The 14514-nt window shown below is 42.3% G+C and overlaps 1 annotated feature.

The window, feature by feature from the left end:
• Nucleotides 10246–10799: an enhancer, noted in NCBI's record as "OCT4-NANOG hESC enhancer chr9:111564123-111564676 (GRCh37/hg19 assembly coordinates)". NCBI's record gives its function as "activates a minimal SCP1, AML or CMV promoter by ChIP-STARR-seq in naive H9 embryonic stem cells {active_cell/tissue: H9 hESC(naive)}" and the evidence as "EXISTENCE:reporter gene assay evidence [ECO:0000049][PMID:30033119]".

Raw genomic sequence — 14514 nt, 5'->3', positions numbered from 1 at the left:
TGGCGGTCAGAACAGAGGCCTGGGGAGCCCAGGATCTGGCCCTGGTTCCTGCTTGTGTCAGAGTCAAGTTTTGATGTGCAGCTGCAATTGCCAAGAAGAGACCCCCTGGGCTCCCTCCGCCCCCATCTATCCTGGAAAGGCTCCCAGGGTGGGAGGGGGGGTGTTCCTGTTAAAAGATATGAATCGGGGAGGGTAGGCCTGAAAGGAGTCAGGAAGAGACTGAGAGTGCCTCGCTCCAGAGTGCCTCGCTCCTCTCCATTTCAGAATCTGTTTCCAAATATTGCAAGAGGCCATGGAAGATTTTTTTTTTCATATAATGATTGGCACTTAGGAGGCCTTATAAGAATTTTAATATAAATTATTATCCGTTCAAACAATTTTGAGTGCTTACAACAGTGGATAAAGTAAAATCCTAGACTAGGAGAGCTGACATGCTGGTAGGAGGAGGCAGACAATGAAAAAGTAAATATTTAGTATTTCAAGTGGCTTTAAGTGACATGGGTGTAACCACAGTGAGAGGAGGAAGAGAGAGTTCAGGAGGGAGTGGGGGGAGAGGTAGGATGGAGTTGCAATTTATATTAGGCAGTTCATGGAGGCTTCTCTAATAAGGTGATCATTCAGCAGAAACCTAAAAGCAGAAGAGAATTCCAGGCAGAAGGAACAGCATGTGCAAAGGGCTTGAGATGGAAGAGTGCTGAGCATGTCAGAGGGAAAGCAGGATCCTGGAGCAGCCAGATCAGGGCCAGCATGGAGGGAGTCATAGGAGATGAGGCTGGAAAACGATTAGGGGCTAGATCATGTAGGCATCCTGAGGATGCTGGCTTTTAGTCTAAATTAAAAGTGAAGGCATTGAAAGATTTTGGGCAGCTCCGACATGCTGTACAGGGTCACTTGGGGCTGCTGTGTTGAGAGCAGACCTAAAGGCAAAGGTAGTAGAAACGCAAGGGTAGAAGAAGGGAGACCTCTTATGAGGATGCAGCAATAATCCAGAGGAGACGCGATTGTGGCTTAGATTAGATGGTGGTCAAAAGTGGGTTAGATTCGGCCGGGCACGATGGCTCATGCCTGTAATCCCAGCACTTTGGGAGGCCAAGGCGGGTGGATCACGAGGTCAAGAGATCGAGACCATCCTGGCCAACATGGTGAAACCCTGTCTCTACTAAAAATACAAAAATCAGCCGGGCGTGGTGGCTTGCGCCTGTAGTCCTAGATGCTTGGGAGGCTGAGGCAGGTGAATTTCTTGAACCCAGAGGCAGAGGTTGCAGTGAGCCAAGATCGTGCCATTGCACTCCAGCCTGGCGACAGAGCAAGACTCCATCAAAGAGAAAAAAAAAAGTGGTTAGATTCAGAATTTTGAAAGTAGACCTTATAGGATTTGCTGATAGTTTGGCTCTTGGATGTAAAAGGAAGAAAGAATTCAAAGATGACTTTAAGGATTTTGGCCTGACCGAATGAAATGGTGGAGTTCCTGTTTAATGAGATGGGGAAGAGCAGGTCTGGGGGATGAACATCAAGAATTTGTCTTTGGCTATGGTGATTCTGAAAGGCCTCTTCTATGACCATGACAGGTATTGTGAAGAAGCACGGCTCCAGGGATGCAACCTGAGTGCAAGTTTATTTCTGTGTCTGAATGTCCCTTTAACATTTGGTGGAGTAGTGGTCTTCTTTGCAGTCGGGTAAAAACTCTGGCAGGCACCATGATTTTTCTCGTCATTCTCGTCTATCAGAAAGTTCCATCGTTCACTTTAGGAAAATGCAATGTTGATCCAGAAAAAAATGTCCAGTTCACTCTATTAATCAACACTTATGTCATCATAAAAAGGTCATGGTGTATACCCAATGTAGAGGCTGATTAAAAAAATACGTATTTTTTAATATGAAGAGGTCATGGTTCTTCTGCTTCCAACTCCCCCATCTTATACCTCTCAAGCTTGTGCCTATAGCAGGTAGGCTACCACATTGGGGAAGAAGTTATGGTCAGGTTTTTTCTCTTTCTTGCTTATCTTCTCATTAGCTATGGTTTCAACCACTCCAGAGTTGGAGACCTTGGAGGGTAGAGCAAAAAGAGATCAGAAAGTTCTTACTTGGGTAGTTCTGTCCTAACATGGTTACACTTTCCCTGGGGTTGGCTAATATTCAACGCTGAATCTTCCTTGGTTCTTTTGTGGATTCTCTGGTGGCTCCCCTTTGCAACACCGCTGGCGTGGGTAATGCATCCTCTTCCTCCAGCTGCTGCTGGGTTTTCTGCAGCTCACTACACACAGACTTTCTCAAGTATTGTCCTATTATTCTGCCAAGCAGAACACTTGAGCAAGAATGATAAGGGTCCTAGCCCATTCTTTCTCCTGCACGGCCCACCTCTTGTCCACGGGACACACACACCCTGTACCTTGGCTGATCCCTGAGGGGTCATCTCTTTTCTGCTGCCATCCACGGCTTTAGCAGCCTCCTACCTTTACACTCCCCAGGTAGGAGTCACACTCCAATTAATTAAGTGCTTCTTCCCCCTCTCCAAACTGCAGGGAACACATGTCGGCTCTCCAAGTCATCCTCTGTCAATAGATCTCTATTTTCCATGGAGAGGAATTATTCACAGCACAGCTTTCTTCAAAGAAAACCTTTCACAAATCCTTACTACCCGCCTTAATCTCTAGTGACGAGACCATTTTATGCCCTTGATTACAGTGAGGGGCCCAAGTCAAACTCTTCTCAGATATCTACCTTGGAAATACTCATTTGCATTAGCTTCTGACCTTAGTATTTGATATCTGTTGTGTTGGAGTCTTGGCCAAACTTCCTTTTTAACATCTTGTTACATTTTCAAAATTTGCGCGTCAATAGCATATGAAGAATCATACTTAAAGCCATGAGATTAGAGAAAACCACCTATGGAATGAACAGCAGAAAGGTCCGAGGATTGAACCCTTAGGCTTTTAGAAGCTGGAGAAATGAAGAACCAACGATGGATACTGAGAAAGTGCATTCACAATTTGTCCTTCTGCACTGGCTTAAAAAACGAACAGGCAAAAACAAATAACACTTTAGGCTCTTATAACTCATTTTCTATCCTGATTTATAATAATACTTGAGCAAATTTTTCCATTCTTCATGATGCCACTCTTCGTATGATCTCACTCCTCACATGTAACTGTCCTTGGCATTTACAAAGTGTCCATTGTCTCTTTTTAACCACCTGACACCCCTGTGAGAAAGGTCTATTACAGATGGGGAAATGGAGGGCAAATAACTTTAAGAGGCTTTCCCAAGTGCTAGAAGTAAGAGGCATAGGGTGGGCTTGAATCAGGTCTTTTGGTTCCAGATTCAGGTCTTTTTTTTCATAGCTGCGTCAAAGATACTCATGACAACCACAGTGTTTTTTTTTTTTTTGTAGGTTTTGCTAAAGTAGACTATTTAGTAAAGGAATGGCAAATGTTTCATCTCATACCAGCTCCTGTTCATTAATCAAGGCTTTCTAGAGAGCTGTGTTGAAGGATTCTGAGGCATAATGAGGTTTGGCAGGAAAGAGTGCTTGATCAATTAGTTTATCTGCCATTGCTGTAGGAGGGGTTCTGGTGGCTGATACACCATGCATTTGCTATCATTCATTTAATTCCTGAGAAAGGGGTTGGGGGGGGCGTAGAGAGAGAGAGAGAGAGAGAGTGTGTGTGTGTGTGTGTGTATCATTTCCTGGAACAGTTGTATTTTCTCACCACGTATTCTAAGAGTGGGAAAAAGGAATAAAGAACAGCCTAAATCCACACTGGGTTACATGCATTCTGTATACATGCATTCTGAGAGCATATACTTAAGATGTGGCATGAGCAAAGGAAACAGCCCTGAACTCAGAGCAGCCTTGCCAATAAATAAAACTAGTCACTATTCCCTAGCAGTTTTCTGTCTAAATTTTTTTTTTTTTTTTAGATGGAGTCTTGCTGTGTTGCCTGGGTTGGAGTTCAGTGGCGAAATCTCGGCTCACTGCAACCTCTGCCTCCCGGGTTCAAGTGATTCCCCTCCCTCAGCCTCCTGAGTAGCTGGGACTACAGGCGCACACCACCACGCCTGGCTAATTTTTGTAATTTTGGTAGAGATGGGGTTTCACCATATGGGTCAGGCTGGTCTTGAACTCCTGACCTCAGGTGATCCACCTGCCTTGGCTTCCCAAAGTGCTGGGATTACAGGCATTAAGCCACTGTGCCTGGCCTCTAAATTTTTATTTTGACAAATTTTGATCCAAAAGAAAAGTTAAAAGAATAATAGTACAATGAATGCCCATATATCATTTTCCTGATTTCGTCAATTGTTAACATTTCCCTGTCTCTGCTTTAATTTGGAATGATTTGAAAGTAAAAATTCAAGACACTTCAGCATTCATCCCTTAAGAACAAGGACCTCCTACATAATCATGTAGTATACATAATCACACCTGCAAAATTAATGTTGATTCAACAATATCATTAACTTATAGGCCATATTCAAATTGCCCCAGTTATCCATAAAACTGGGATGAGACTAAATGTACTACTTTTCTTTTTCTTTTTTTTTGAGATGGAGTTTCACTCTTGTCACCCAGGCTGAAGTGCAGTGGTGCCATCTCAGCTCACTGCAACCTCTGCCTCCCAGGTTCAAGTGATTCTCCTGCCTCAGCCTCCTGAGTAGCTGGGACTACAGGTACCCTCCACCATGCCCGACTAATTTTTGTATTTTTAGTAGAGACAGGGTTTCACCACGTTGGCCAGTCTGGTGTTAAACTCCTGACCTCAGGTGATCCACTCACCTCAGCCTCCCAAAGTGTTGGGATTACAGGCGTGAGCCATTGAGTCCAGCCACAGCTGGAGCTCTCTATGTAATTTAGGTTGCACCAAAGCACTTGCACTTACCTAAGATGGGCAAGGTAAAAGTGAGGCAGAGGTCATGCTTGTGCTGCTCCTGCATTTTTCTTAGGAGCTTGGCCATTGATTTTTTCCTGCCATGTTGGGACAGGCTATGGAAAGCCACTGGAGAGGGTTGAGGGCAGAGGCAGGGCACGATCTGATATAATTTTAAAGATCATGCAGCCTACTACTATGTGGAAAATAGACCGTAAGGGGGCATAATTGGAATAGGGAGCCAGTTGGAAGCTCTTGTCACCTGGATGGAGATGATGGTGGTTTGTATTGGTAGACAGGGTGAGAGGTAGTTGGATTCAGAATATATTTTGAAGATGGAATTATGGGAATTTACTGGACTGTATATGGGGTATGAGAAAAATGATCCCTGCACTCCCTTGTAGCTAGGGTTCTGGATGTAATTCAGGTTCCACCTATCAGATGCACTCCTGTGAGATTTGGAAGGCAAAGTTGAGGTAGAGATCATGCCTTTGCTGTTTCTCCAGGATTTGTGGGGCTTGAGCAACTGGGTGAATAATGGTGTCGTTCACTAGACAGGGAAAGTCAACATTTTGGTGGGGTTGGAGGTGCACATTTCATAGTGCTTCTCTGAATGTCTATTAGAAATCCAAGTGAGATGTTAAGTAGGCAGTTGGATATATGGAAATGGGCAAGGGCAGGCCACTAGTGAACATACTATATTTATGGCTATGGGATTGTATAAGTTCATTTAGAGAGAACTGAGACCTGGAGCACTCCACCTTAGAATTTGAGAAGAGGAGAAGAATCTAACAAAGGAAGGGGAAGAGTGGTGATTAGATAGGAGAAAAAGCTGGAGAGTGTGAGGTGTTAGAAGCAAGGAGAAAAGGCTTGTAAGGAGGATGGAGCAATCAGTGTGACCAGTGCTCATGAGACTAAGAAGGAGCCTAAGGGTGGAGAATTTACCATTGGAATCTGGCAATGTGAAGGTCATCCGTGATGCTGACAAACAGCGTGATGGAGAAACCTGAGTAGACCTGGGTTAGAGAGAATTGGATTATGAGGAAGTGAAGGAAGGGGACTCTTTCTTGAGGAGTTTTGCTATAACAGAAGAGAGAACTAGAGCCATAGTTGGAGAGAGAGATGGGGTCAAGGGAGGGCTTTGTTTTTTTGTTTTGCATATGTTAGGTATTTTGCATGCTGATGGGAATGATTTAGTGAAAAGGAAAGAAAAATGATGGTGCAGGAAGGGATGAATGAAAAGTCCTTGTTTATCTGAGAGGAAATAGACTCAGAAAACAAATTCAAGGGTTATTCCCATTGTTACGGGTTGAATTGTGTCCCTCCAAAAGATACGTTGAAGTTCTAACCCCTGGCAGCTGTAAATATGACCTTATTTGTAAATAGGTTTTTTTTTTGCAGATGTTATCAAGTTGACATCCTAGTAATATCCTGAGATAACATCATTAGGGTAGACCCTAATCCAATATGAATGACAGCCTTGTAAGGAGAGGAAGAGACACAGAGATAGACATAGGAGGAGAATGCCCATGATGATGGGGACAGACAGTGGGTCAATGCATCCAACCCAAGGAATGCCAAGAATTATTGGGAACCACCAGAAGCTGGGAGAGGCAAGGAAGGATCCTTCTCTAGAGGCTTAGTGAGAGCACAGATCCTGCCCGACATCCTAGTTTCAGACCCCTAGAGGATAGCTAGCTTGTTAACTGAACAATTCTCTACTTTTACAGAGTTATCCATGATGAATCAGTGCAGTAAACTAAAGCAAGGAGATTCTCACACTGTCTCACTTGTTATATTTAAACCTTGGGTTTCAAACAATAGGTTGTCTTGAAAAGTGCTGCTGGGTTTAGAGATGTTTTCTGATTCTGACCTATCCCCAAAGGTCTGTGGCTTTCCAAGACATGCCTGAGTCTCTTCAGGAAGCTGATAATGGATGTTTCTGTAAGAGACAAATGACCACCTGTATTTAAAAACTTGAAAGTTCTCTGCTATCTTTCTGATCTGAGAAAGAATTTGCTAATAAATGAGCCTTAAAAATTTTGCTTGATAAAACCAGTCATTCTTCTCATGATCAGTATTTCCTTTTAGAACGTGTTGAAGATTTCTCATTTTTCTCCCATCATCTTTTGCTATATTGAATTCTAATTTCTTGATTTAAATTTCTTTTATTTACTAACTTCTAAGTATCCTCGGATTTGAGTTGTTTAGATTTTATGTAAGGCATTTGTGATACCAATAGTGGAAAAAGTATTTGATTTGGAGCTGGAAGATACAATTTTGAGTCCCTCCTCTACCATGTCCTGACTTTGGGTTATTCAGTTACATTCTCCAGACTGTTTCCTTATTGTAAAACAAGGGTGATACCCACCTCATATAGTTACAGTAATAATGACAGCTAACATCTCTATAACTTTATGGGTTTTTTTTCCCGCATATCATCCCATTTAATCTTCACATCAACTCCTTGAGCTTGGTGGGGAATAATCATCACCCCTTTCTACATACGTGGAAACTGCGGCTGGGCAAGCCTAATGTAAAAGGTCCAAATAGGAAGTGTTTGAGCTGGAATTTGAGCTCAAATATTTTTCTTATAAAAGCCTATAGGAAGTTCCACCCATCATATTTCATTGGGCTTATACAGCATTTTACAGATCTCAAAGCATTGTGCAAAAGTAAAGAATTCTTTTTTTCATTTTAAAAAAATTTACTTTAAGTTCCAGGATACATGTGCAGAATGTGCAGGTTTGTTACATAGTTATATATGTGCCATGATGGTTTGCTGCACCTATCAACCAGTCATCTAGGTTTTAAGCCCTGCATGCATTAGGTATTTGTTCTAATGTTCTCCTTCCCCTTTCCCCCCACCCCTAACAGGCCTTGGTGTGTGATATTCCCCTCTCTGTGTCCATGTGTTCTTATTGTTCACCTCCCACTTACGAGTGAGAACATGTGGTGGTTGGTTTTCTGTTCTGTTAGTTTGCTAACAAACTAGAATGATGGCTTCCAGCTTCATCCATGTCCCTGCAAAGGACATGATTTCATTTTTTTATGGCTGCATAGTATTCTATGGTGTATATGTGCCACACTTTCTTTATCCAGTCTATCACTGATGGGCATTTGGGTTGGTACACCAAGAATTCTTATTTCTGTGGTGTTACTGTTTCTGAGTGGACATCTGTACAGTAAGAGTTCTGTTCTGAAGATAGCCAGACCTGAAGTCTGCTTATCTAGAACTGCGCTGATCATTATGGAGGCCACTAGTCCCATGTGTCTACTGAGTTCTTGAAGTATGGTTGATAGTACTGGGGAAGTGAATTTTTAAAATTTTATTGAACTTTAATAAATTTAAATTTAGAAGTAGATATTCAATTTATTTATTGGGAAACTTTTAAGTAAGTTTGAAACAATAGGGAATTGTGTATCCATTTTTTCAGCTATAAATTTTATGTTGTAAACACAGATCAAGTATTTCCCATGAAAATTTAGTATTCTATTGAATGCTGTTATGTGTAAAATATACTAGATTTTATATGATAGATGTAACGTAAAATATCTCTAATAATTTTTTATAGTGATACATTTTGAAATAACACTTTGGATATATTGTTTTAAATGAAATAGATTATTAAAATTAATGTCATCTGTTTTTTGTTTTTTAATGTGGCTACTGGAAAACTTTATATATGTATCTTGTATTATTTCTCTTGGACGGCACTGCTCTAGAATTAGCTGTGAAAGAATATTTGTGTTAACTAGGGATTTCCAGACCAGAACAGTACAAATCATATGTCAAATTTCACATTTTGTTTCACATAAGGAATTTCCAGGACAACCTGTTGTATATATTAGGTGCTGACTAATTATTGCTCTTTCTGAACTAGTGGAGACTCTTTTGTGGCTGCTCATTGAGGTTTGATCATAGCTGTGTGGAGGCTTCTTAGTTCTCCTTCTGTCTGTAACTACCCAGTGGGTTCACCTTGCCCACTGCCTAGACAGAACTGATTTATCAAGACAGGGGAATTGCAGTCGAGAAGAGTCACTTACACAGAGCCAGCTGTGTGGGAGACTCGAGTTTTATTATTACTCAAATCAGTCTCCCTGAGCATTCTGGGATTAGAGCCTTTAAGGATAATTTAGGGTGTTGGCAGTGAGTCTGGAGTGCTGATTGGTTGGGTCAGAGATGAAATCATAGGGAGTCAAAGCTGTCTTCTTGTGCTGAGTCAGTTCCTGGGTGGGGGCCACAAAGTCACATGAGCAAGTTTATCAATATATGGGGGGTGCCAGCTGATCCATCAAGTGCAGGGTCTGCAAAATATCTCCAACACTGATCTTAGGTTTTACAATAGTGATGTTATCCCCAGGAGCAATTTGGAGAGGGTCAGAATCTTGTAGCTTCCAGCTACATGACTCCTAAACCGTAATTTCTCATCTTTTGACTAATTTATTAGTCCCACAAAGGCAGTGTTGTTTTGGGAAAAGGCTGTTATCTCTGTTTCAGACTATAAGCTATAAACTAAGTGCCTATCAAAGTTAGTTCAGCCTACGCCTAGAAATGAACAAGGACAGCTTGGAGGTTAGAAGCAAGATGGAGTTGGGCAGGTCAGATCTGTGTCACTGTCTCAGTTATAATTTTGCAATGGCGATTTCATGTCCTTAGTCCCAGTAGCCAGCCTGCTAGGAGTAGCTTCCTAATTCTCCTTTCCACTCTCAAGGCCTCTTGAGTTTGTTGACTTGGGCCTCACTTTGACCTGGTGTCTGGGGATGATTCTATCTGATTCTACACCTGCGTGGTTTAGGTGCTGCCTGCACCTGGGTCTGCACTGGCTTGCCTATTTCCTGGGTGTGTTCTACTGTGTGAAGCACTATCACAGCTATGGAAAAGGCCAGGTTGTAGGCAATTCCTTACTTTTATACATATACGCCTTCCTGAATGCTTATGCAAAAGTTGAACACATCCAAGAATAGATAGACCAGGTATAAGGTGAAGATCGTAAACCTAATAGCTGAAATATAGTCTCAAATAATACCTTGTCTTTTAGTCACAATCTTTGAGGCTATCTCTCCAACATTTCATATAAGTTCTTTAATTTTGTTATTGTAGTCACAATTGAAAAACACCATTAACTAGCTCAATAAACCAATAAGGTTTAAGATTTTCCACTTTCAACATCCCTAATATTTCTTAAATATATTCAGTTTGTAATCCCATACTTATTAATAGTATTCATATTTTCAACTGTCCATTGTCTTTTTTTGAAAAAATATTAAGGGTAAAGAAAACAATGCTTTTCAAAAATTTTTGATTGGGATGGAGAGGAAATCATAGAGGGTTGAAGCTGTCCTCTTGGGATCCGAATTGCTTCTGGGTGGGGCCACAAAAGTGGAGTTGTTGGTCTGGATGGAGCCATGGGTCCAGGTGGAGCTATATGGGTGTCAGACATGAAAAACAAACAACAACAACAAAAAAAACTGGAAAGATATCCCAAAAGGCCAATCTACAATAGTGGTGTTATTTGCAGGAGTAATTGGGGAAGTTGCATGTCTTACAACCTCCTTTGCTTTTTCACAGGATGCACCACGATTCAGGCTCCTCTCCTCCCCCCACCCTGATGGCCTCCCATTAGCTTTACAACTGCAGTTGAGTTTTGAACAAGGCCTGTTATCATTTAAACTGTAGCCTAAATGTCTTTCATTGTTGGCCCAATAGCCCAGGAATAATTAGGGGAAAGGCAAGATGGGAGTTGGGTTAGTTTAGCTTACTGTTATAATTTTCTCACTGATAAAACTTTTACAAAGGCGATTTCAAGCATAGACTGCTGGCCATTCTGTGGGGGAGATCAATTTGCAAGTTAATTAGTCTCACATATATTATTGTGTTCAATTCTTCTTTTTTTAAATATCAGTTTGCTTTTTCATAGGATGCTTTCAGTTCTAATCGCTTGTGAGCTTTAAACAGATGGTGTTGCTTTATATGAGAGAATCAATGCCTATAAATAAATAAAAATGTTTGATTTTTCTGCACTCTGTTACGTGTGTCATGTATATTATGGCAAGATCCAAAGTTAATAAATTATTTTGACACAGATAAATGTAATCAGGCACTTTTTAGTGAAGTGAGTGTTTCAGTGGTTCTCCCCAGTGGCAGTATAAATAGAATTCTCTCTCTTTTTTTTTGGAGAGAGGGTCTTGCATCTCACTCTGTCACCCGTGCTGGAGTGCGGTGGCACAGTTACAGCTGTCTGCAGCATTGACCTCCTGGGCTCAAGTGATCCTCTCACCTCAGTCTCCTGAGTAGCTGGGACTACAGGTGTGTGCCACCACACTGGCTATTTTTTTATTTTTTTGTAGAGACAGGGTCTCACTATGTTGCCCAGGCTGATCTCGAACTCCTGGGCTCAAGTGATCCTCCCATCTTGGCTTCTCAAAGTGCTGGGATTACAGGCATGAGCCACGGTGCCCAGTTTGAATTTGTTAATGGACAAAATGGGTCATTTTCATCGGGTCAATCCTATAGTCCACAGGGCAATCTTTTGCTTATGCAATTAAAAAATAGAACAATTAAGAACACCTTATGGAAACCCTTCTCATGTATTTTATGTAAGTGGCTTATGGAGATATAGCTGTAATGCAGGATATTTTCTTAACGCTTTCACGGAACTCACAACAGCGTGCCTCATTTACTCAGGCTGCCCTATTCAACCCCTCATGGGAGACAGGCAGGAACATATGAGTGAGCAAGTACAGGAACCGGCCACTTTGGCACTGGCAGGAGCAAACTCTTTGTGGGCCCTGCAGCAGCATCTAGGTGGGGTGCCTGCAATCCCAAGGCCCCAGAGGGTGTGTTACAATGTTGTCTTAGCTCTGTCATCCACAGACAGCAGCTCAGTGGGCCCTCTGCCTCATTGCATGGAGCAGCTGCCTTCTGCCAGTGAGGGCAAAGGGCCAGTGTGACAGCCTGTTTGGATACCTGCACCTGATGTGTTCCAAATTCTTGTCCAGTGCCCAAGAGGAATGAGGTCATGTAGTTAAATTGAAGGATGGTGAATGTGGAGAATTTCACTGAGTGATGAAAGCGGCTCTCAGCAAACGGGAACTGGAAAGGGGACAGGTCTGGGAGACCTGCCCTTCAGGGTAGAGCCCTGAAGTCAAGCTGCTTTTCTGCCTCTCTCTCCTGAAGTCAAATTGCCTTATCCAGCTGCCATCTCAAAGTCACCTATCCCTGATGTCCAGTCGCTTCTTCCTGACGTCTAGCTGCTGCTTTTCTCTGCCAGCTGAATATGGGGTCTTTATAGGCACAGAATGGGGGCAGGGCAGGCCATAGGTAGTTTTGGAAAAGGAGACATTTGACTGGTTTAAAACATTATTCATAAAGAACCAGTTGGGAGAGAGTGGGCACACAAGAGTGGAAGTTCTCACTTTGGGCTGCGGGTTTCAGGCTTTTTGGCTTAAAAGTGGGGTTTTGCCAGGGACCCACCCCTGTCTGCCTAGAATTTCTCTGCCTCCTGCCTCTATCATTGTATCATTTCCCCCTCTGAAGAGGCACATCTAACTGCTGTTAGCATATGGATGATGACTGATCTTAGCTACTTCCTGCTAACAGGGGGGTGTTATTTTGAGGAAAATGGCAGTCAGATTTCCCTCAGAGGTCTACCTAAGGGTCCCTGGCAAAAGGGAGCCATTCTCCGAGGTTGTATGACCATTTGGAGCTTGATGGCCTCTAGGCAAGAAGAAACAAGTTTTACGAGGTTAAGTATACATGGATTGAATATGTGTATTATACAAAAAGGAGTTAAAAGGAATGAATCTAGTGCCAAAGATTACAGAAATAAGTGAAATATACTAATCCTTCTGAAAAAAATAATGCACCCTGAGCTGTTTCACCCTGGTGAAATAAATTAAACCTTATATGAAATCAGTTACACTTTAGGGGAGCAATAACTGTTTAGGGAAATGGATATTCCCATGGGTGTTCAGGATTAAGGAGTCTTTGATAAAGGCACCCCATGTTACAGAACAGAATGAAGGTAAGAACATCAGGGATAGGCAAGACTATAAGGAGGATATTCATGGAAAATTAATTATTAACACTTCTTTTGTGATTTTTAGCTTGAGTTCCCCAATTTCTTCACATTAGCACTTTGGGTGCTCTTCTGGATTGGGAATCACTGGGTGAATTGGAACCATCAGCTCCCCAGGCCTTTACTTTGAGTATAATGAATCAAAAAATCTATTCTAGTGACACTCACTGCCATAGGAGTAGAAAGAAGTACAGTGTAAGGTCCCTCCCAATCTGGGCTGGTAGAGGGAGAAAGGGAAAGGACTACCCTTACCAGTACCAGGTCCCCTGGGTTGAACAGACATTGCCCTAGTTCAGTTCCTGTTGGAAATGGGCCAAAGAAGTTATATGTTTAATCAAATCAGAGGTTTCTTGGTCTAGCAAGAAATCATTGGTGAGAAAAGGCTGTCCATACATAATTTCAAAGGGACTCAGACCCAGCTTTGAAGGGGTGTTTCTCACACATAGTAGGGCCATGGGAACAAGGGTAGTTCAGGGGAGGTGAGTCTCCTCACACAGTTTCCTGAGGTTCCTTTTGATAATATCATTTGTCCTTTCTACTTTCCTGAGGATTGTGGTCACCAAGCACGATGAAGATGGTACTGTATGCCCACTACCTTTGAGACCCCCTGGATGACAGCTGCCTTGAGCAAGGGGCCATTATCACTCTGGAGGTACTCAGGGAGTCCAAAGCAAGAATTTATCTCATTAATTGCTACTTTTATCACCTCGGAGGCTTTCTCTGTTTGACATGGAAATGCTTTTACCCAGTTAGTGAAGGTATGTATCTTTCCATACTAGGAGATACTGGGTGCCCCTTGCCTTTGGCATAGAGGTGAAATCCATTTGCCAGTCTTCACCTGGGTAGCCTCTTGTTCTTTGGGTTCCAGGGGGAAGAAGCCACTGATTCAGGGGATGATTTTTAAGGCAAGTCTTACAAACATTAACGACCTGCTTAACCATTTGTATCAGGTGTTTTTTTTTTCCTCCTGAGAACAACCTCTGGGCCAACTGATAGGTTTTATCCTTACCTAGGTGGAAGGCCTGCTGAAGGCTTTAAGGAACTTTCCATTGGTTGGCAGCTGGTAGATGAAGCTTGCCATCCTCCAATTGTAGCCATCCTGAGAACTGAAAGATATATCCTCAAGAAGTGGCCCATTCTATTTCTGAAGGAGAATACTGAGGTTTTATTTCTCTTATGGAGCCCTCTCAGATCAGAGGGGCTTCAAGTGAATCAGAAATCTGGGCCCTCTTGGTGCTGATTTAGCTGCTTGGTCTGCCAACCTATTTCCCTAAGCTATTTTATCCATCCCTTTTTGGTGGCCTTTACAATGTATTACTGCCACTTCCCATGGGAGGAAAACTGAATATGATAGTTTATTAATTTTCTGATAGTATTTAATGGGAGACATGTTAGCTGTGAGGAAGTTCCTCTCTTTCCAGATAGTAGCATGGGCATAGAGGACTAGGAAAGCATACTTAAAATCAGTATAAATGTTAACTGCTTTCCCTTTGCTTAATTCAAGTACCCTCGTGAGGGCAATTACCTTGGCTAGTTGAGCACTTGTGCCCAAGGAGAGATGCACTCTC

Source organism: Homo sapiens, chromosome 9, assembly GCF_000001405.40.
Source record: "Homo sapiens chromosome 9, GRCh38.p14 Primary Assembly".
In the NCBI taxonomy this organism is placed as follows: Eukaryota; Metazoa; Chordata; class Mammalia; order Primates; family Hominidae; genus Homo; species Homo sapiens.
This window is presented reverse-complemented; position numbering and strand designations above follow the sequence as displayed.